The 23,530-nt window shown below is 41.3% G+C and overlaps 1 protein-coding gene across 1 annotated transcript in view, besides 1 other annotated feature; it reads right to left on the minus strand.

Annotated features, from left to right (window-relative positions):
- MYO1E (myosin IE) overlaps positions 1-23,530 on the minus strand; it is a 240,438-nt gene that overhangs the window by 84,198 nt on the left and 132,710 nt on the right. Inside the window, exons 5-10 of the mRNA NM_004998.4 lie at positions 19,954-20,041; positions 15,071-15,160; positions 10,828-10,959; positions 8,058-8,192; positions 6,428-6,560; positions 1,260-1,456 (exon numbers count right to left, since the gene is read on the minus strand). Coding sequence (NP_004989.2) covers positions 1,260-1,456; positions 6,428-6,560; positions 8,058-8,192; positions 10,828-10,959; positions 15,071-15,160; positions 19,954-20,041 — 775 coding nt within the window. The remainder of the gene's footprint in view (positions 1-1,259; positions 1,457-6,427; positions 6,561-8,057; positions 8,193-10,827; positions 10,960-15,070; positions 15,161-19,953; positions 20,042-23,530) is intronic.
- Positions 12,529-13,028: an enhancer, noted in NCBI's record as "H3K27ac hESC enhancer chr15:59521359-59521858 (GRCh37/hg19 assembly coordinates)". NCBI's record gives its function as "activates a minimal SCP1, AML or CMV promoter by ChIP-STARR-seq in naive H9 embryonic stem cells {active_cell/tissue: H9 hESC(naive)}" and the evidence as "EXISTENCE:reporter gene assay evidence [ECO:0000049][PMID:30033119]".

The raw sequence follows: 23,530 nt of genomic DNA on the forward strand, positions 1-23,530 counted from the left end.
GAAGGGCCCCCAGTGTGTGTGTGTGTGTGTATGTGTATATATATATATATATATACACATACACACACACACACACACACACACACACACACATAATTATGCCATAACCAAAAATATCTAATAGTTTCAAAATACATGCAAAAAGTTTTTGATATTCCTTCCTCTAAAAGGTGGAGCCTCATTCCCCTCCCCTTAAGTGTGATCTTTGCTTAGTGACTTGCTTCTAATAAACAGAATGTGGCAAAGTGACAATACCTGAGTCCAAGATTAGGACATAAAAAACTGGCTTCTTGCTCATTCTCTCTTTCAGATCACTCGCTCTGGGGAAAACCAACCATTATGTTATGAGGATATTCAAGGAGAGGTCCATGCAGCAAGGGGCTGAGACCTCCTGCCAACAGCCACATGGGCAATCCATCTTTCAGCCAGATCCTCCAACCCTAGGCAAGCCTTCAGACAACCACAGTTCCAATCAGCTTCCTGACTGCAACCTCGTCTTTGAGTCAGAACCACCAAGCTCAGCCGATCCCAAATATCTCACCCTCAGAAACTGAGAAAATAAGTGCTTATGGTTTCAAGCCGCTAGGTTTTGGGTTAATTTGTAACATAGAAATATGTGAAAAACATATTCCTAAATCTTTAGGTCCAAAAGTCAAGAAAGGCCCATGAACGTGGCTCTCCTCTTTTTCTGGTCTCTAGTCCTAGCTTTACTAAATATTTTGTCCAGAAGAAACTTGTTACCACATTAGATTTAGCTAAGGTATCTTGGTGGGCAGTTCTAGAAGGAAAAGCAGGATTCAGTAATCACAGAGTGAGAGAAAGTGAAGTAAGGTAATGGGTGAAAGGAAGGAGCCAGAACAGGAACACAAAACCCTCAGTCGTTTTACCTTTTTTTTTTTTTTTTTTTTTTGGGAGATAGGATCTCACTCTAACCCCCAGGCTGGAGTGCAGTGGCGTAATCTCGGCTCACTGCAGCCTTGACCTCCCAGGCTCAAGTGATCTTAACCACCTCAGCCTCCTGAGTAGCTGGGACCACAGGCACATGCCACCACACCTGGCTAATTTTTGTGTTTTTTTGTAGAGACAGGGTCTCACCATGTTGCAGAGGCTGGTCTCAAACTCCTGGGCTGCAGTGATCCTCCCACCTTGGCCTCTCAAAGTACTGGGATTACAGGTGTGAGCCACCGCACCCAGCCTACTAGTTTTACTCTTTATAGCTAAGATATGAAGCATCACCAGCATCAACTTCTGTTACTTACATCTACCAAGAAATCAAAGACCCGGGCGTGCAGGGCCTTGGCGAGCGCATCCCGGGTGTAACAGGCCTGCTCTACGTTGAGGGTCACGTGGATGGATTCGGATTTGCCTCCCCACTTGCTATCCATCTGCCGGCTTGTTAGCTTTTCTTTCAACCGGTCCTGGTTTATCCCTAGCAGATATGCAGGAAAAGCTAAAACTGTAGAACATAAAACAAAACATGACAATCTTTCAGAATTGTGACACTTCCAAGTCATCTCACAAACATATGGAGGCACTTATGTGCACATGCACGTGTGTGTGCATAGAAGGCACAATCACGGGCCCCAAGAGCTTACGTTCTAGTGAAGGCTGCTTATCAGTAATCCCATACACATCCATCTCCTTTGTTTTTCCCAATTGTTTTATGACATGAGTCAATTCCTATGATGACTGAGACTTCCAATAATACAAATCAGGGATTCAAGAAGGATGGCAAACCTATCCCTCCTACTGAGATCACAGTCAAATGCCTAAAATGGACATCTCTCCAAGCTTCCAGCACGACAGCCAGGAAGGAACTCAATCAAGAAACATTTCTTTGGCTCCAAATATTGTTTTCTTCCTTTTTAGTACAATGTTTTCATAGCATCATTTTTGAAGCACCTGATATTACTGAACTAATAATTACAACCAATCCCATGTTTATTGAGTATTTAGCATGTGTAGGGTTACTAAAGAGAGAGGAAAAGATAGAAAATATGTAAGAAATCTTGAATGCAATCTAGATGAGGCAAAAATAGTTTGCCAAATAAAGAACCCTTGGAAAAGCTGAATATGTAACACAGACAGACAAGATCTGGAGAAATTAGAACAGGAAGATATTACTACTTGCTGGGGTAGTCAAGAGATTTGAGCTGGGTGTAAAGGATGAATACGATTTGTGCAGATGCAGAGAGGAGAAGGGAGTGTACCAAGGGGAGGAAGCAGAAGTGTGGGAGACATGATCAAGACGAGACGGTCTACAGTGTGTGGACTAGCACTGGCTACAGGTGAAAGTTCAGGTCAGATTTAAAAGGTTAGGACAGATTCCAATGCTGGGGGTCCTTGAATGGTATGATATATTTGGGCTGGAGGCAAAAGGGGGCCTGATGGCTAATAAAGAGGGGCATTATAAGAAGATTCCTCTGAGGGTAGCATATGGAGTGAAATGAAGGGGATGGTATTGTTCATATCCTGCCCTAATGTCACATGGTATGGCAGTCTGTGGTCTTTGGATAGAAAAACGGAGACTTCCATAGCTCAACATCTTGTTTCAGACCATGAAACTTACCAAGGAGGGCTAGTGATATAAATGGGGTTTTCTTGATTTCTGGGCAGAACGTTCTCATATAAATAAATGACACCATTCTTTGACATGAAAGAATGCTCAGATTTTTCCAATATGAATGAAAGATTTTTATAGATGCAATGCAAATTTTGAACTTGGCTGAGTTTTCTTTTTCTGCATAATGCTTTACCAAAATTATCTGATAAAAGAATTTTGTTAAAGGCCTTATGATAATGCTAAAAAATCACAAGCCTCCCAATAAAGGATAATCTGTTTGAATTTCACAGATGGTGTTAGAATATAACGGGCTGACATTTCTCAGTATACACCTTCCAATGAGATTAAGTCAGTGAATACATTTTGAAAAAGTATAATGCCAGAACAAGACATTTATCCTCTATATGAGTGTTTCACAAAAATGCTTTGAGCAATAGAAGGGCTTCCTTTTAGAAAGGACATGTAAACAAAATCAAATGCACTGATCTGAAAATGGCCATTATCCTTAGTTTAGTTTTACTGTTAACACATGTCTAGGAATCTGGATATGTCTTCCAGTGAACTAAACGTGCATTCATCTCACAGAGTTGAACATTTCTTTTGATTGAGCAGTTCTGAAACACTCTTTTTGTAGAATCTGCAAGTGGATATTTGGAGCACTTTGAGGCCTGTTGTGGAAAAGGAAATATCTTCACAGAAGAACTAAACAGAAGCATTCTGAGAAACTTCTTTGCGATGTGTGCATTCATCTCACAGAGTTGCACTCCTGTGCACAGAGTAAGGACAGATGACATTCATAAATCAGACTGGACCCATGTCGGGTTGTTGTGAGAATCAAGAGACATTCACCAACATATCCAACTAAGAAGGGATTTCTTAGTTTGTTTAGCTTCACAGCAACGTAAAGGTTTGACCAGGGAAATGCTACATTTCCATTAGTCTAAGGTCAGGTAAAAAAAACAAAGCTTGTTTGGCCAGGTGTGGTGGCTCACGCCTCTAATTACTGCACTTTGGGAGGCCCAGGCAGGCATATCATCTGAGGTCAGGAGTTTGAGACTAGCCTGGTCAACGTGGCAAAACCCCATCTCTACTAAAAATACAAAAGTTAGCCAGGCGTGGTGGTGCGCACCTGTAATCCCAGCTACTTGGGAGGCTGAGACAGGAGAACTGCTTGAACCCAGGAGGTGGAGGTTGCAGTGAGCCGAGATAGCGCCACTGCGCTCCAGCCTGGGTGACACAGAAAGACTCTGTCTCAAAACAAAAACAAAAAACAAAATAAAACAAAAAAGCTTGCTGTTATTAATGGCTATTTTGCTTTAGTAGGCCAGTTCTGATGAAAATCTTACCATTTTTTTCCATTTTTTTTCTGCACTGCAAGAGCAAGAGAAAGTCTGCTTTTTTCCATTATAAAGGCATGGACTACCACTTCCCTCTACAAATTTATTCCATAGATATACTAAAATATGAGAAAGATGATAGAAACCAAGGCTATTCCTTTCAGTAGTGTTCATTCAGTCTTGTAACAGCAGAAGATCAGAAACCATATTAATGTCCAACAACAGATAAATAAAGTGTAGCCAATGAATGGAATGCTATGCAGCTACAAAAAGGACAGCCAGGTGCAGTGGCTCAATCCTCGATTCCCAGCACTTCCGGAGGCCAAGGCGGGAGGATGACTTAAGGCCAGAAATTCGAGACCAGCCCTGGCAACTAAGCAAGACCCCATCTCTTAAAAAAAAAAAAAAAAAAAAAAGATAAAGCTCCTTAGGAATTGATATAGCATCATCTCACATTATATATATAATTATATATATAATATATATATAAAATTTATATATATATTATATATATATACACACACATAATTTTTTTTCCCTTTTTGAGATGGAGACTCGCTCGTTGCCCAGGGTTCAAACGATTCTCCTGCCTCAGCCTCCAGAGTAGCTGGAATTACAGGTGCGCACCACCACCAAACCTGGCTAATGTTTGTATTTTTAGTAGAGACAGGATTTCACCATGTTGGCCAGGCTGGTTTCAAACTCCTGACCTCAGGTGATCACCTGCCTCAGCCTCCTGAAGTGCTGGGATTACAGGCATGAGCCACCATGCCTGGCCTAAGACACATGTTAAGTGAAAAAGCAACTGTAGAACATTGCAGTATAAGCCCCCAATATTGCACAAAAGTGAGAAAAAGGAGTGGTTGTGTGTAGTTGTTTTGGAACACACATCCTTTAAAGGGAACACAAGAGACTGAGAATCTTGGTTACCTCTGACGAGGGGAACAAGTGGACTAGAAAAGGTATAGAAGGGAGAACTTTCACTGCATACCCCCTCAAGCCACGTTAATGTATTACCAAATGAACAAAACCCCAAATCAAAGGAAATTATTGGTAGGGGGAGGCCCATTTCCTGGACCTCTCTGGCTTCCATCTCAGCCTTTTCCAATCTCCATGCCTCCATCGCCTCTAGTCAGGGAATTTCATGGGCAGTTGCCAGTGCTCGGCCTTACCCATCTGGCTGAGAAGACTACTAACTCTGGACATCAATGTGCAATAAAACACTTCTTGTTTCAAACATCTAGGGAAGTGTTTGCTGTTTCAGTGTCATGATTTTGTTTTCAAGCATAAAGAGGCAGTAAATTATTTTACTATCCAAGAAGGCAAAAAAAATCCAGTCTACTTCAACAGAAACTACCACCAAACCAACACTGTTACAATTAAAAGGCCAAGTGTTAATGATCCTACTGGAAATATATGTGCATTTGTTAAATGTCAAGGATAATGTACACAAAGTTTAGAAACATAGTTATCCTTATTATGATTATTAGGTCATGTTTTTAGACTTTATGGACACCCTGTATATTTATTGTTTTCTACTCCCTTCCCTGGTAAACATAATTCATCTTTTTCTTTATCAGATAGACATCAGAAGTTAGCAGAACTTCCCTCTTTTATCAGAAAAGAAAACAAAAACATAAAAAAAGAACCTTATTTGGAATGGAAATATCCCCACTGCATTGTCAGCAATGAGTGGGATGCTATTTATTACTAAGCATCTAAATTTATCATCCTTAAAGAATGCTGAGAAAGGAAGAATGTCTTCCTGGGTGGTTAAAGGATGTGTGGGTTCTGAGAGCAGCCTGCAAGCTGTTGATGCCTAAGAGGCTAAAGTCATGTGCCGCTGTATTTATGGTAGATTTTGGGCACATGTAACCAGCAGCACCTCTCTGTAGGAAGAACCCTGATTTTTTTTCTCAAAGAGTAAAAACGACCATTTAGGTGTTGAGGCTCCAGGTATACAGATGTGATCATTAAAAGTGATCATCAGAAATGTCAACACAACAGTCAATGTCCATCTTTTTCTGTGTTCAGAAATCCAATGTAATCCAATCCATGGAACAAACTGTGAAGCTGTGAGCTTCCCATATTTACATATATTATATTGCTTGCTCTTTAAAACCTGTAAGTGAATTTAGATCCTAAAGACCAGTTACTGAAAAGGTTTTGATAAAGACAATAAATCTTTTGCATTAAGCCATTACTCTAATCCCCATTAAAGAGATCACTTTATCTTTAAACCAAGGTGTGAAATCCTCCCAGCTTTCCCCAGGTTAATGATAAATTGAAACGATTCCATTAATAATCGATGGTGTGGGACTTGGAAAGGCTGGGGGTAAGGACAGGGACAGGTGCATAGAAGAGGTCTGGTCTCTCGTGAAGCCATTCTGTTTGCCACAGAGGACATGTAGATTTATCACTTCTTCCCAATATTCCCATTTGAGATCTAAGCAAAGGAAAGTGCTAGGTTACTTCTAATCAGAGCTAGCCACCCCTCATTCAATGGCCACATGCCAGGGCTACGCACACTCTTCACTCTCCACAGCCGCGTAGTTGCCAACTTCTTTGAAGCTGATGTTTCCCAGGTGGAGAATACCCGCCACTATCTGCAACACCAGCGTTTGCTCTTCTGCAAAGATCCCAATCACATTCATGGCGTGCTGGAAGAGAAAAGAGAAACTATCCAGAGAAGCTGGTCACCAGCTTTAAAAGCACCTTAGGAAGAAGCCAAGGCACAGCAGCTGCTCTAAATAAGGATGTGACAAGTACAGACGAGTTACAAAGAAAAAAAAAAAAAAAAGCCAAAACATAAGATTGGGTTGTGCAGTCACATGTGGCTTAGCTTGTGATGACAGCAGGACGTTCTTGTACAACATGGTCACTGCCCAATGCACACATTCTTCTCACGTCTCAAAGTCATGCTGGAAGGGCACTTCTGTCTCTAAGCATAGCATGCCATCCTCCAGGAATAAGAGAATACTCCAGGAGGAAAGAGACTCGGAAGAGTGGTAGTTGTACACAAAGTCTCCAAGTCCTGTCTTCATCCTTTGATGTGTTCTTGTTGCCAGCTTCCCCTCGAAGGTCGCTGCTGACCTTTCCACCTACTCAAAGTGGACTCGAGATCTTTCCCTTCATCAGGAGGGATAAGAATATATTGTACTTGCAAAAGGATCTTAATGAAAAATCTCCAGGAAATCCAATAAAAGCATCATTTAAAAGTCCAGTTTCTGAGGTCCCTTAAATGCAATAAATACCGCTAAAATGTCTAAATCTTAAGAGAAACATCTCCTAAGAAAACTACACTCTAGGACCAGTGTGCAGACTCCTTATTGGCACTTTTCCCCGCAGCTGCTTTGAGGCCATGTGACCTGTTGATACCATTTTGTTTCCTGGCACCCAGGACACAGTCTGTTTGAACTTTCTGTCCCTTTCAACCACAAATGTACTGAACCCACGCTGCTCATTCAGAGTCTACTGCTCAGTTCTGGATCTGGGTTGAGGAATAGTCCCCAGCTTGAAACAGACTCAAAGGGCAGTGGGTGGCAATGAAGGCCTTTGAGGCCAAGTGGGTGTTCAGCCTACCTCCAGAAAGTTCTACATTATTGCCCCCAGGATGGAACCCCTCCATAATCTACCTAGTTTCACAGCTTGGACCATAACATACATGCAATGTGAAGGGCATGGCACAGAAAAAGGGTCCTCTGCCCTAAACAATACAGAGGGGAAGAGAGTCTTCAAAACCAGAAAAGAAATAAGAGAAAAGACTAAAGACGTTCCAAAATGTCTAAACCTATTCAGTCCATAGACGTGCGGTTTGCTTAGCTTTTCTAAGGAAATAGCTCACGAATAGAGTAGGCCATCAGCAAACAGGTATGCTCAACGTATGAATCATTTTTGCCTATTTATCAGAGCTCCTGCAGGGTGATAATGATGAATTCATTTCTTTTTACCCATCTCAAATCATTAAGTGGTCCTCAGGCAACTGGCACATGGCTGTTTAAGGATACTGAAACATGTATGAGCATACAGAGTGCTCACAGAGAAAGAGGCGGACATTTCATGCAGCTCTTTGCTTTATTAACCTTCACTGCCCTTTTGGCCACAGGAAATGGCCAGTTGGGAGAGCAGATCCTGCCTGGCCCTGCGCCAGCACTTACCAGAGTTTCCTGAAACTCCCGCCTGTCGTCAATGTCATCAACCTTGTATGAGCCCGAGAGGCTCAGGTAGTAATAATAGTCCATGCTGGTGATGCCAAGGCTGTGTTTCTGCTCTGCAGAGGCGCCCTCGATGAGCTGGAGCAAGAGAACACAGGTTGAGCCATGATGTGGACCACAAGGCACCCGAAGTCACTCCTGCATCCTGCAGCCACCATCCCTAAGGACTTTCTATCTCTGCTTTCTAAAATTACAGGCAGTCCTGGCCCCCAAATATGTACTTGTAGTAGCCCCAGGTCATCTCTGCAAATTTTGATTCCTAACTCTGGAAAGACCTGCAAGAGCTGAGGATTTTCCATTGTCCACTGAAAGGAACTGGACTGCCACCCTCGGAAGAGTGGAAAGCAAAACAGATTTTAATTACTTAGTTCCTGCCCAACTTGCTATGGCTTTTTAAGCTGGCTTTTCCATGTTTCTCACTGCAGGGTGCATGTTAAAAAACTGCCATGCAGCTTCCTGCTCTCTGGTACTCTTTGCCTTCTTTAGAAGCTTTTCCTTGACTGTGAACTTCTCCAAGCTGCAGGATCTACTTCCTTGCCATGACATAACCACTTGCATTCTAGCTTCTCCCCTCACCACTCTGGCGGAACCCTTGCATGGCTATTTTTCAGTGCCTAAATCCAACAGCCTTTTTTTTGGCCCCCACACCCCAGCTCGTCCCTTTTGCCCAAGAGCTCTGACCATTTGATCCTGTCGATGTCGCCCTGAGGCTTCCCTGGCTTGGTGACACTGCAGGATCCTGGCTTTCCTCCTTATCCTTCAACTACTTCCCTGCTGGCTCTTCAATGCCTCCCGATCCTACATATCTAGAAAGTCCCCTGGTCCTGTGTGGCAGGATTTTCTCCCCACATCCACTCCCAAGTATTTCGTAGCTTCAAGAATTTCTTTTTCTTTCTTTTCTTTTCTTTTTTTTTTTTTTGAGACGGAGTCTCACTCTGTCGCCCAGGCTGGAGTGCACTGGTGCGATCTCCGCTCCCTGCAAGCTCCGCCTCCCAGGTTCACGCCATTCTCCTGCCTCAGCCTCCTGAGTAGCTGGGACTACAGGCGCCCACCACCACGGCCAGCTAATTTTTTGTATTTTTAGTAGAGACAGGGTTTCACTGTGTTAGCCAGGATGGTCTCGATCTCCTGACCTCGTGATTCACCCACCTTGGCATCCCAAAGTGCTGGGATTACAGGCGTGAGCCACCGCACCCAGCCAAGAATTACTTTCATGTCAGAATCTTGAACCCCTGCGCCCATCAGTTCCCAGCCTCTATTCTGGTGGTTTCTGACTTAAGGGCAGAGAACTCCTGGGGGAGGGTTGGGGCTTGCATTTATTTAAAGAAGTCCTGACATCCATTATACACTTCCATCTAGCACTGGGTATTATTTATGTGAAATATATAATTATTTTTCACTTATCTATATATGTTGCTTTAATACAATTTTAAAAATGACTGAATTCACAGAAGTTTTAATCATTTATATACTTTTTCAACCAACAGGTACAAACTAAAAGAATTATTTGGCATTGCCTAAGATGTGTGTGTAATTGAAAAGATTGAATGTGAGCTACTTCCACAGTTTAATGTCCTTCTAATCCAGTGATCCACAAACTAAACACGAAATGAAACAAAACAAAACAAAAAACAGTGACCAGGTCTTTCTTCGAAGAAAGTCTAATGTGGATCTTCAATATAAAATACTAATAAGTAAATAGAACATAAAAAATTTGGTTATTAACATCATTATATTTTTTAAGTACTTAAAAACCTTTTACAAAAGTACCTGAATCAGGGCCAGGTGCAATGGCTCACGCCTGTAATCCTAGCACTTTGGGAGGCTGAGGTGGGTGGGTCACTTGAGTCCGAGAGTTAGAGACCAACCTGGGTAACATGGTGAAACCCCACCTCTACGAAAAATACAAAAATTAGCCAGGTGTGGTGGCATGTGCCTATAGTCCCAGCTACTTGGGAGGGTGAGGCAGGGGGATCATTTGAGCCCAGGATGCAGAGGTTGCAGTGAGCCAAGATTGTGCCACTGCACTCCAGCCTGGGCAAGAGAGCAAGACACTGTCTCAAATAAAAAAATAAATAAAATAAAAGTAGCTGACTCAGATGACTGCTGAAGCCTGTAACATAATCAAAAAGCACCCTGCAAGCTGCTCTGGCCCCAAACTCTCCATGACTTCTGAGGGTCTAGGTGGCAACTTTTCAATTTGGCATTAAAGATCCCAAACCTATCTCAAATCTTTCCTCCGGTAGCTCACGTTCTGGAGACGCCTGCCCTGCAGGCAGGCTGAGGCCGGGCTCCCTGACTGGCTTTCCCTCTCCCACCTCCACTGCTTTGGTGCAGGTCACCTGTCTTCCCTCATCAATCCCCTCCACTTTCCATCCGGGCTCTACCTCCTTCACACCTCTCCTACTATCCGGCCAAACCTGCCCACCTGAATTCCTTTGGCAAAGACTCCAACACTCCTCGTTTTGTTTTGAAGTTACATCAATACTTTCTTGATGATTTAGCTTTGGAGGAATTTCTGTCTTATCACTCCAATTAGAACTCACTCTCCTTGAGGGCAGGACATTCTCACAATTCTGCACATTGACTTGTACATGGTATCATCATCAGTCCTCCCTGGCTTCCTAGACTATAGTCTATGCCTGAAGTCTGAGAAATATTTTAATGTAGAGAAGGGACAGGAAGTGGGTAGGAAAAAAGTAAACAGGAAAACCTGGTAAAATATGTGAAAACTCCGCTCTCCTGGGTTCCTCATCACCACCCTAGATTTTTCCAGAAGGAAGTTGGAGATCTTTCCACCATCTGGTTCCCCACCTGGACTGAACTGGATTTCAAAGTATTTTCCCTGCAAGAAAGTTAGGGATTTCCTTCAATGGTTGGTGAACAAAACATGATGTCCCAAACAGGCTTTGAATACAGTATATAATTCAAGGAAATTCATTAATAAAATACACATTCTGAATTACTCCTAATTTGAGTCTAGACTTCCTTAGTTTTCAATCAGACAATAACCCGTGCTTTTGTCCAGCCACACGATTCTGTTAGAGAGAGCACCTATCATTCCAGCATGACTAAATAAGGATATGCTCTATTCCTTGCTCATTTTCCCCCAGTAGGTGCCTGTCTGCTCAACCAGAAGGTGTAAATCATGAGGCAGAAAAATGGCATGGCACCCTTTCAGAGGAAGAGCACTCTTGCTCTGTCAGGCTTCATCTCATGGCTTTGAGCAAAAACACTCAATCTCTCTTACCTACGGAGCATCTAAAATGTTTATCTAGAACGGAAACACTTTATTAAAAGTAAAGTTCTTTCTAGCTACTGACGGGCCTAGGGATTTTTGTCACTGTCATTGTTATGAAAATTCCTCTTTAAATGACTGCTAATAGGGAACAAAGGAGAATAAAAACCTAGACTGTAGTTGAAAAGGTATCTAGGTTGTTATATTAATTATATATAGCCAGGCGCGGTGGCTCACGCCTGTAATCCCAGCACTTTGAAGGCTGAGGCAGGTGGATCACTGGAGGTCAGGAGTTCGCAACCAGCCTGGTCAACATGGTGAAACCCCATCTCTGCTAAAAATACAAAAAATTAGCTGGGCATGGTGGCGGGTGCCTGCAGTCCCAGCGAGGCAGGAGAATCGCTTGAACCTGGGAGGTGGAGGATGCAGTGAGCCGAGATCATGCCACTGAACTCCAGCCTGGGCCAGAGAGCGAGACTCTGTCCAAAAACCAAAATAAAATGAATCAAAATTATATATATAATTATTATAACAATTATTATATATATTTCATATGTATATTTAAATTGGTTTTTTTTTCTCACTAGAACTTAATTTGTCTCCTGTGCTTAGAAACTTAAGCACCCTCAGAGGCCAGAAGGGTAAATACGGATAAAGGAAAAGAGGGAGTGGTGTGGTCTATGGTCAAACTGGAGAAGATGCCCAGCCTCATCGCATTCACATTTAATAACATAAAAATGTGTATGCTGACTAAATCCACCCATCTCAGGGATGAATTCAGCTGGGTTTTATGTCTGTGACTGGAGCTGTAAACTCATTAAGGGCAAGAAAAGTACTGTGCACACTGCAAATGTGTGAGTACATGCCGTGTTCCTGTTCGTAATTATTCTAGGTGTCAAGAAAGACCACCGAAGGCGGCCAGCCTCTAACTGTCTATGTGTCTTAATCTGATGATTCTTTTCCTCCAGGCAAAAAACAAAAACACCCAGCAGCACCAGGCACAGAGAACCACCAGCCATCGCTCTGCGGAATGTCAGTGGCACCTGAGAAAAGCTCACTGAAAGAGAGCTCCCGTGCTTCCTTTGGCGGCCACCTTCACCACCCTTTCCTTTTGGCATGTGATAGAGGGAATACTTCAGTGCCTGTCCCCCATTCCTCAACAGTTGAGGGAAAATGAAACCAAACAGAACATCTGACCCAGGAAGGGCAGGTGTTGGACAGGCAAGCTCCCAAGTCCTCCTAGCAGCAGTGCTCAACCTTGGATGCCCCTTAGAAACACCTGGGGAGCCTTTCCAACATGCTGTCAGCCCAGGCCACGCACATCAGACTCTAGGACCAGGGCCCGGAGCTGTGTGGTTTTCAAAAAGCACCCAGCTGATTTTTATGTGTGGTCAAGGTTGAGAACCACTGCTCTAACATAATAAAATGCATATGCATGGCTCATAATTGTCATATAAAAGTTAAAATTTCTAACAAAAGGTTAACATATTTAGGACTGCTGTATAGCAGCCTGGGGGGGATGACAGGAAATTTTATAAAGGGAATAAAAGGTTGCATTTGCATTTTGATAATGAAATGAAAAGAAGTTTCACCTCGACTCTTGGTAATGATTTATTTCCTAAGCTGGGTGCCAGATACATAGATGTTCATTGCATTGTTTTTAAATCGTGTTTGAAGTATTTCGTAATACATTCTTTAACTTGAAAAGATTTGTAAGTGTTAAATATATACATTCTTATGCTTCATAATACCTGTGCATTTTTTAAAGTGAAATTACTCATAATTCTACCCTGATGCCACTTCTTCATTCTCTTGCTAAATAATTACTGTCATAGATGTCAAACTTTGATTTACATACCTCTTAGTTACCTTTCATATAATGTGCACATTAAAAAAAAACAAGAACATATTGTAAATATTGTTCTGTAATCTGTTTTTTTAATTTAACAATATATTATGAATATCTTTTAAAATAAGTAGTTATTTAAGCAGGAAGCTTATGTAATTTATTCTAAAAGTATTGTTGGGCAAAGATAATGAACGATTAAAATTTTAATAACAATTGCCCAATCACTTTCCTGGAAGAATGTGTCAGTTCTCAACCAATAGCGTGTTTTCTCGATTATTATCAATCAACTTAATGTTTGCCCATTTGAGAGACAGAAAATTATATGTGGTTTTCATTTACATTTCTCTCATCCATGATGGTGAATAGTGAGAGAGAGAGAGACAGTGTGTGTTTGTGTGTGTGTGTGTGTGTGTGTGTGTGTGCAGGTGAATGTGTGTCTGAATTGTCTCTTCCAATCTTTCTATCAGGGTTGTATAAAATTTTGCAATTAGAAAAATAATAAATGTTGAGTGTTTTTGTTATTTACAGAAACTGATATATCCTCCAAATATAATGAATAATTTATATTGCAAAAATCAATGAAAATATCAATTTAATTGTTTTTTTTTTCTGGTCTCCAAGGAATCCAAGACAGGGGAAAAGGTAAATAAAGAGTTAAATTTGGTCAAGTCCATTTTTATAAGATTTAGATTGAAAATTAATTCAAGTGGAAAATTTGTTTAATTCTTCTTTCCTATTTTATTATCTGGAAAACTTCTTCAGGATAACACAACTCAGGCATTGGGCCCAAATATGAGAGACAAACAAATGAGTAGTTTGAATAATATTGGAAAGCAAAGAAAGTAAGGGCAAGTCTAACAGATAGAACCCACCAGGGAACTTGACAGTTATTATATGAGCACATAGTAAAAATTCTCTTGGAAATAGAAGCTTCTTTCCAAAATAGACAGTGGAAAAGAAAATTGTTTTTCTCCAAAATTCCCACTTATTTATTTTAAAACGTTCCAGAATCAGCCTCACAGATGGCTCCGTGAATGCTTTAGTGCCAGACATGATCTATGGTTGAAATAAGATGCAAAATCTATATAAATCAAGGTTACTGGATAAACATTTGTTTCTTTGTAAATGTGGCTTTTGTCAAGGGGAACATATTCATATTCAGCCTTGCCAGCTTTCCTATTTACCCCCTCTGGAGACACCCAGACAGAAACATGACTAAATGAGCATTCATAACAATGCACTTGGTTGACATTTTCATTACCAGTTAGGTAAGCCAGTTAAGAGGCAACCTGTGAGGCCAGGTCCAGTCACTTTGGGATGTCGTTAGGTTACATGAGTAGGGCATAAGACAGATGCACAAAGCCAGAGGGCTGCGGTGGGCAGGCAGCTCGCTCTGAGGGATGGAGAGGAGGAAGTTTCTCTCCAAGGTGCCAGATCAGTCTAACTCTGTGCACCCTTCAGAGTCTATGGACCAAGTTCTAAGAAGCAAAACCACTGCCAGTGGGAAATGATACCTGGGATACCCCTCTACTCTAGTTATTTCTTGGTCTGGGAAAGAAGGTCTTTTCTCTAGGGCATAAAGACAACTCCTCCAAGGCCAAAGCTGCCACTTTCATCATTTATTTTCCTTAGTAAGGCAACTGATGTGGAAAATGATTTTCAAAATTATCTTGTTTGTATCCCCGGGGCGCAAAAAAAGGCAAACTGCAGCTTGGCGGCATGCTGCTATAGAAAATGAAGGAAAGATCGAAGAGGTGGCCTCCTGATGATATGTGAAAGGCTCCCATTTCCTGTGGGATACTAGACTTCAGTCAGAAGCATCAACATCATCAATCAAGCGACACTCTCTGAAACAGGGAAGGGACTTACAAATCGGCTGGAGTTGTTGTTCCGGACGGTCTTGGCGTTCCCGAAGGCCTCCAGCAGCGGGTTGGACTGCAGGATAATGTCCTTCACGTGCTGTCCCAGCAAATAGACCGGAGGTTAGGAAGGTGTGAACACCTACCACACAGTGTACGCCAAACTTTCTCTAAGGACCTGGTTTCTGAATGCATTAAGGTGAGGGGCCCCACACCCGTGTGTCACTGGTGGGGTTTCTGGAGGATTTATTCTTTCACCATGACAGACCTCAACCTGTTTGTGTATTTGGGTCTTCCAATTCCCATGGCTTGATGCAGAGTCCCCAGGAGCCAGGGCCCCACTGTCAATCAGGAACTATTCATACAAACGTTCTCAGTGTCCAAATTGATTGCTGCAACTTCACCAAAAGTGAAGTGGTACCTGAAGGGGCGTGTCCTTGCTGTTCTGGCCAGGGTCTTTCTTCTCACTACCCCTTCCCAACTACTCTACCAACCCATCTCATCCCATCTCCACCTGCTTCACTGCAAGTTACCTTAAGGAAAATTAATCCACTTCTCCTCCCCAAACAAGGTTATGGAAATATAGCCTGGTGTTTCTCAAACTTTAATATTCATGAATCACCTGGGGATCTTGTCAAAATGCAGATGTGGACTTAGTAGGTTGGGGTAGGCCCAAGAATCTGCATTTGTAGCCAGCTCCCTGGTGTTGCTGGTTTTGCCAGCACTGATACACACTTTAAGCAGCAAGGGTCAACAGTGGATCGTGTGGAACGAGTCCTGGCCTGGGGGGAAGGATTTGTTTTTCAAACATCCCAGTTCTATGCAGAAGTGTGCAAAACACACCATAGACATGAGACAGCTCAATAGATAGAATTTGATGTTGGAGAAGTCTTTCAACAAGTGAGTCATTCCTTGTACTTCTAATTATTCACATGCTATGGTTAAACATGTTCCAGAAATAACAAGTCTTCTGGCTTGTGCTCTTTAGCTACTGACTAATTCCAAGCCAAGGGCTCTGTATCATTGTCCTCATAGGAAAACAGGAAGAGAAAAATCAACATTAACTGTCTGCAGTCTGGCTACTAGGTCGTAGGGGTGTAGCAAAGAGGAGTAAATTAATGAACTACTAACTGACTATGTAACAGCCAAAGTGTTACAAAGGGTGTAACAGGCACCCTCCTGAACATTCAGAAGAGAAACTGCCATGAGAAATGAGAACTGGGCTTTCATTGTGACGAGGGAATCATCCTTAGCCATGGCACCAAGGGCAATTCTGGGTGGTCCTTTCATGGGTCAGTTTCAAAGCTTAGAAACATACTCCCAACCTGCCTACTCTCTTTTAAAAACTCATGGATTTATATAAACTCTGCTTTTCTTTGTAAAATCTATTTTGAGTTTGTGGATCTTCATTAACTCTTTCTATCTTTTTTTTTGCTGGCCAGACATGCCCATACCACTTAACAAAACTCAGCTTCTCTCAGGAAGAGAACAAAAGCCAGAATCTTCTTCTATCTTTTCCCTTTTTAAATTACAGTGTTTAAAATGAGAATCTTTATGTATCCATTCATCCATCCATCCGTCCGTCCATATGTATTCATCAACAATCGGTGATGTTCAACAGAATTTTGTGGCATGTGGCGGGCATATTAGGGAAAAGAGAAAGAGCAAACTGAGGTAAAAGAGTAGCCCATCGGCCGGGCGCGGTGGCTCACGCCTGTAATCCCAGCACTTTGGGAAGCCAAGGCGGGCGGATCATGAGGTCAACAGATCAAGACCATCCTGGCCAGCATGGTGAAACCCCATCTCTACTAAAAATACAAAAATTAGCTGGGCATAGTGGTGCACGCCTGTAGTCCCAGCTACTCGGGAGGCTGAGGCAGGAGAATCGCTTGAACCCAGAAGACAGAGGTTGCAGTGAGCTGAGATCGCACCACTGCACTCCAGCCTGGCGACAGAGCGAGACTCCGTCTAAAAAAAAAAAAAAAAAAAAAAAAGGCAGCAAAACAGCATCCTGGATTCTTGTCTCCATGTCAACCCTCTCAGGATCCAGTACAATCACAGGAATAGAGAAAAGCAAGTGGACTGAACCACATGAACCTAGGTTCTATAGCTGCCCTTACTGTCCAATAGGGAAGCCATAAGCTACCCCAACTGAGGTGTAACTGTAGAATACACACTGTATTTCAAAGACTTAGTACCAAAAAAAAAAAATCTCATTAATTTTGTTATATTAATTATATAATAAAATCTTTTTTTACATATTGGGTTAAATAATACTGTTTTAAAAAGTAATTTCCTTTTTCTCTTTTTACTTCTTTTAACATGGCTACTAGAAAATTTAGAATTACACATATGGCTTGCTTCATCTTTCTACTGCACAGAGCTGCTCTCCATCTTCCTTTCATTCAGAGAAAGAGGCCACTTTAAGGACCCTTCACTCTGCAACCTTAGTTTGCTCTTTCTCTTTTCCCTGATATGCTCACCACATGCCACAAAATTCTGTTGGACATCACTGATCACTGATGGATGGATGGATGGATGGATGGATGGATGGGTGCATGGATGGATGGGTGCATGGATGGATGGATGCACGGATGGATGGATGGATGGATCCATAAATATTCTCAGTTTTAAAGTCTGTAATTAAAGAAGGGAAGAGATAGAGAAGATTCTGTCCTTTGTTCTCTCCCTGACAGAAGCTGTCGTTAAATGGTATAGGCACGTCTGGCCCGCAAACAAAAGATAGAAAGAGTTGATCCACAAACTCAAAGGAGGAATGTTTGGCTCTACCTTAAGCTTTCTGATCTACCAGTACATGATAGAACACTATTTAATTAATAGAAAGGGGCCAGACATGGTGGCTCATGCCTGTAATCCCAGCTCTTTGGGAGGCCCAGGTGGGTGGATCGCTTCAGCTCAGGAGTTTGAGACCAGCCTGGGCAATGTGGTGAAACCCTGTCCCTACCAAAAACAAACAAAAATTAGCCAGGCATGGTGGCACACACCTGTGGTCCCAGCTACTTGGGAGGTTGAGGTGGAAGGGAATGCATAAGCCCAGGAGCAGGAGGCTACAGTGAGCTGAGATCATGCCACTGCACTTCAGCCTGGGTGACAGAGTGAGACCCCATCTCAAAAAAAAAAAAAAAAAAAAGGGAACCACAATAAAGAGAATTTTATGTGTCTTTTGAAAGTCTACAGCTGACCATGGCAATAACATTACATAATTCTGATTTAAAAAACTAATCTTTGGAAGGAATTCTGTCACCAGCGGTGCATACTGGTGATGAGCGCCAAGCTTGGGCTGCCCCTTATGGACCTTAGCTCGCCATCACCCTCATCCATGGCTCTGGGGAGCAGGCTTTACTCATTCCTGCCAATGCTGATTTTAATTTTCACCTCTTGAGTATCCTCATTCTCTGGATCTTTTCTCTTTCCCAACACTCCTTTACACTCTTTAATCTCTCTTTTTTCCTTCTCTTAAATCCTTTCTCTGTCTACGTCCTTTAAAATTTTTATAAGTTTCTTGAATTGGCAAGTGGTTCACATAGCTCAAACCATGCAAGTTTCTAAAGGGTATACAGGAAGGGTAGGCCCTTCTCCCAACCTCCCAGCTCCCCTCCCTCAAGACAACCATTGTTGACAGTTTCTTGTGTATACTTCGAGGGATATGTGATAACATACCCAAACAAATACAAATGTGCACTCTCTTTTGATCCCTCAAATGGCAGCATATATTACAAACAATGTTCTGAACCTTGTCTTTTGTAATTAATGATACATCTTGGAGACCATTCTCTATCAGTACAATCGGTACATGAAGCCTCATTTTTATTGCTGTATAATATTCTATTATATAAAGAACCACAAATTATTTCACCAGTTGCCTAGTGATGAACACTTAAGTTGTTTCCAGTCTTTTGCATTACCAAAATTGACAGAAATAACTTTATACATGTATTATTTTGTATACATTTCAGCATATCTAAAGAATAAATTCTTTTCAGCAGAACTGCTGAGTCGAATGGCATACATGTGTAAGTTTAACAGATTTTGCTGAAATGTTCTTCATTAAAATGTACTAGTTCATCTCCTACCAGCAATGTATGAGAACAACTGTGTCCCTACTTCCTACCAATCAAGCGTTTAAAACATGGTAAGATTCTGGCCAATCTGATAGGCAAAAAATAGTTTTCTAATGCAGTTTTAATTTGCATTTTTCTTCTTATCATGATGGTGAACATACTTTCATGTTTTGTGAGTAATTTATATTTCCTTTTCTATGAGTTGTCTTTCATGTCCTTTGTTTATTTTCCTTTTGGGCTGCTGATCTTTTTATTGATTTGTAGGAGTTCATTATATATTAGGCACATCTACCTTAAAATATGCTATTCCTTAATCCCAGCACTTTGGGAGGCCGAGGAGGGCAGATCACCTGAGGTCAGGAGTTCGAGACCAGACTGGCCAACATAGTGAAACCCCCGTCTCTACTAAAAATACAAAAATTAGCTGGGCATGGTGGGGCACACCTGTAATCCCAGCTACTCAGGAGGCTGAGGCAGGAGAATCTCTTGAACCCGGGAGGCAGAGGTTGTGGTGAGCCGAGATCGCGCCACTGCACTACTCCAGCCTGGGCAACAGAGCAAGACTCTGTCTCAAAAAAGAAAAAAAAAAAATATATACACACACACACACACACACACACACACACACACACACACACACACACACAAACACACATACATATGCTATTCCTTTCCATTCCAGATTTCAAGTTTCACAGTTATAGAAGAACCAGTGTCTTTTCTGTGGAAGAAAAATTCTTTTCTAACAGCAAATGGAGCCTCTTACATTTCCCATAACATAAGGTATCATAATGGGCCACTGCCCACTCACCTGGACTTTGGTCCCTCCTCCAGACACTCTGGAGATGTAGCTCATGATATATTTGGCAGCCACTGTTTTTCCAGCACCACTTTCACCACTAAAGAAAGACAGACAAAGAATCCACCTGAGAAGTGGATTGCGACCAGCTCCCTTCCTTGTCTCCCCCATCACACAAAACAAACAAACAAACAAAAAAACAAAAAAAACAGGCAGAAAAGAATTTTTTTTTTTAAGTACAATACCAGTAGAGAAAGGCAAGTTACAGCAGGATTAGGTCGCCCATGTGACCCGTGTGAGCCGGATTAACATGGTGTGGATAATTACCACTGTGCACACCACTGACCATTAAGCATTTTACATGCCCAATAATGGGGGATATGATTAGGAAAATTATGGAGTATCACAAGGGTGGAATTCTACATAAATTACAACTGACATGAAGACTGTAAACACAGGAAACAAGCAAATGAAATCATGTTAAGTGAAATAAGTCATTCAAGTTATATACAAAACATGATTACAATTTTTTTTTCTTAAAAAAAAGACTGGAACTACCACAAAATATTAACAAAGGCTTTGGTCAAGCCAGAGACTAGAGAAACTTGTTTTAATTCATTAGTTTTCAAACATTTTATAATGCATATGCTATTTTTGTAATTTAAAAAAAGAAAAGAAAAAGTGGGCACTCTGAGGTTTCAAACCATGTGCCTTGAATTGATGCAAGCTTCCTTATTTTAGAAGTTCTAAAATTAAACCTTGAAGCAATATTAATCACATCCGGAGTAACAAAGGCCACCTTCCGCTGGGTAGCCTTCCTGCATGGGGAGAGCCTTTTGTTAATAATATATAGTCTGCTCTTCAAAATCCCCATTCTTCCTACAAAATCCCCCTGAATTGATAATGACCTCAATTCAAAACATGCTTAAGTCAGTCAGATTTTTCATCTTTCTATTGGTACCCTTTGTGTTACCAGGATAGAATTAAAGAACCCCATATCATATAAAATGATGGTGGGAGTTAGTATGAAAAATGCAGACTGCTACAAGTTCATAGGACAATATTTTTGTTCGCGCTTCGCGATAAAAAATTTTAGGGCGCAGAGCAAATGTTCTTCTATGAATATCCAGCCCAAATTAATTGTTATCGATTGCTGAGTTACTCAAGGAAAGAGAAAACATTTGCTTGGGGAACAACCAAGCAAGGTGACACTCCTATTCCCAAAAGGAAACTGAAATTTGAAATAATTTTACATTTCAAAACAAAACAAAAGAAACAAATGAACAGAGAATTGAGCTGGCCATATAGCGAAACTCAGAACTTTGCTGAATTTCCTTGAACTAATAATACGGTTTTAAAGAAATTATGGGGAGGCGGGAACCATCCTCTGTTCAGAGCTCATGACCTGCAAAAGTCTGAACCCACCTATGCAAGTCACTCACCATCCTAGTGCTATGCTCCTGGCTTCCTGGTCACATGAATAAGAAAACCAAACTGAAATTTCGTAAGCTACAGTAGCAAGTAGAAAACCAGCAAGCCTGGGACGAGGTGTCACACTCTTCCAGAGGACATGCTTACTCACAGGCAGCAACTAGGTCGGGCAAATTCAACTCCATGGGGAAATTATCTTTTCAAATGGTTGACATACTCAGATGATGTATTTACTAGATCCAGGGTCAACACACACACTCTCTCATTGGAATTACACGGTTTGGCAACAATGAAACTCCATTTTAGAAGTTGTAAACAATGTAAACATTCAAGAATATTGGAAAGTCCAAGCTTACAATGGCACAACCACCCAATATAATACTGCACAGGCATTTGAAGTACTTACAAAGAGTATGTAGCAACATAAAGATAATGCAGCCTAAGTTAAGTGGTAATGTGAATAGAAGATACTATATTTATAACAAGTTTACAACTATGTGAAAATAATGTATGGGCAAAAACAAATTGACAAGGAAAAAGAAATATTCCTTACTTGTTAGGAGGCTGGTATAGGAATGGTTTTTTTGAAATGGAGTCTCACTTTGTCACCCAGGCTGGAGTGCAGTGGCACAATCTTGGCTCACTGCAATCTCTACCTCCTAGGTTCAAATGATTCTCCTGCCTCAGCCTCCCAAGTATCTGGGATTACAGGTGTGCACCACCATGCCTAGCTAATTTTTTAATTTTTAGTAGAGACGGGGTTTCACCATGTTAGCCAGACTGGTCCCAACTCCTGACCCCAGGTGATCCGCCTGCCTTGGCCTCCCAAAGTGCTGGGATTACAGGTGTGAGCCACGACACCTGGCTCTTTTTCCTTTTCATGTGCTTTCTCATAATTTTCTATTTTTTTTAGATTTTTATGCCGGGTACAATGGCTCGTGCCTGTAATCCTAGCACTTTGGGAGGCCAAGGTGGACGGATCATTTGAGGTCAGGAGTTCGAGACCAGCCTGGCCAACATGGTGAATCCCCGTCTCTACTAAAAATACAAAAACTAGCTGGGCGTGATGGCAGGTGCCTGTAATCCCAGCTACTCAGGAGGCTGAGGCAGGAGAATCTCTTGAACCCGGGAGGCAGAGGTTGCATTGAGCCAAGATTGTGCCACTGCACTCCATCCTGGGCAACAAGAATGAAACTGTGTCAAAAAATATATATATATATATTTTTTTTATTTTTTAAAATTTGTGTATTTCAGATTTTTTAAAACAGCTTTTCCAGAGAAAAGGGAGGGATCACACCTCACAATAATCACCACTGATCAATTTCATTACATTATTATTATTCAACTTCCTACATATCACCATAAGTATGTATATTTTCCTTAAGTTTACACTGTCACATTTAAACTTTACTAGAACAAGCTGGGAAAGAGAGAGAGAGCAAGCGTGAGCAAACCCTATAAGAATTATAAAATAATATATATAAAGGGGAATTTATTAAATTTAAAAAAGAATTATAAAAGGACAGTAATCCCAGTAATCCTCCCACTGTGTCTTTGGTTAATACTGTATTCAGACATGAAATATTTTGTCTCTTTTGTTGGAAACAAAAGCAAGTAATAATAATGGAAAGTAGCTCTTTTAATATATCAAAATAAGTATACCAGTTCCAAAAATAGGATATCTGCATTCTCAGCAACTATGATCTTTTCCAGCAGACTTAAAATAATTAGTTCTCACTAAACATTGATCGGAATTTTCATTACTTGGTTTCAATTTACAGACACTTAAGAAGAATTTTTATTGATCAGAGGCTGGTGAGTTGGTCAAAATATGGTACAATAATGGAATGTTACAGAATGACTTGAAACCTACAGTATATGCAACCATAATTATGCTGGCCTGTTTGGGATGAGAACATATTGTTTCTTCTCCGGCACTAAAACCCAAGTTAAAAGAAAGTGAAGGTCTTAGACAAAATAATATATCCCAAATTATTTACTTTGCATCTCACAGCAGTTATTGTACAGCAATTTGCTTTGTTTACGCTTCCAGGCAGCCCGTCCTAATTTAATTGACTTATAAAATGGACACACACACACAAATACTCTAGAAATTAGGAAAATATCCCAGTGGTTCCCAAATCTGGCAGTCTATCAG

The sequence above is a fragment of the Homo sapiens genome, chromosome 15 (genome assembly GCF_000001405.40).
Source record: "Homo sapiens chromosome 15, GRCh38.p14 Primary Assembly".
In the NCBI taxonomy this organism is placed as follows: domain Eukaryota; kingdom Metazoa; phylum Chordata; class Mammalia; order Primates; family Hominidae; genus Homo; species Homo sapiens.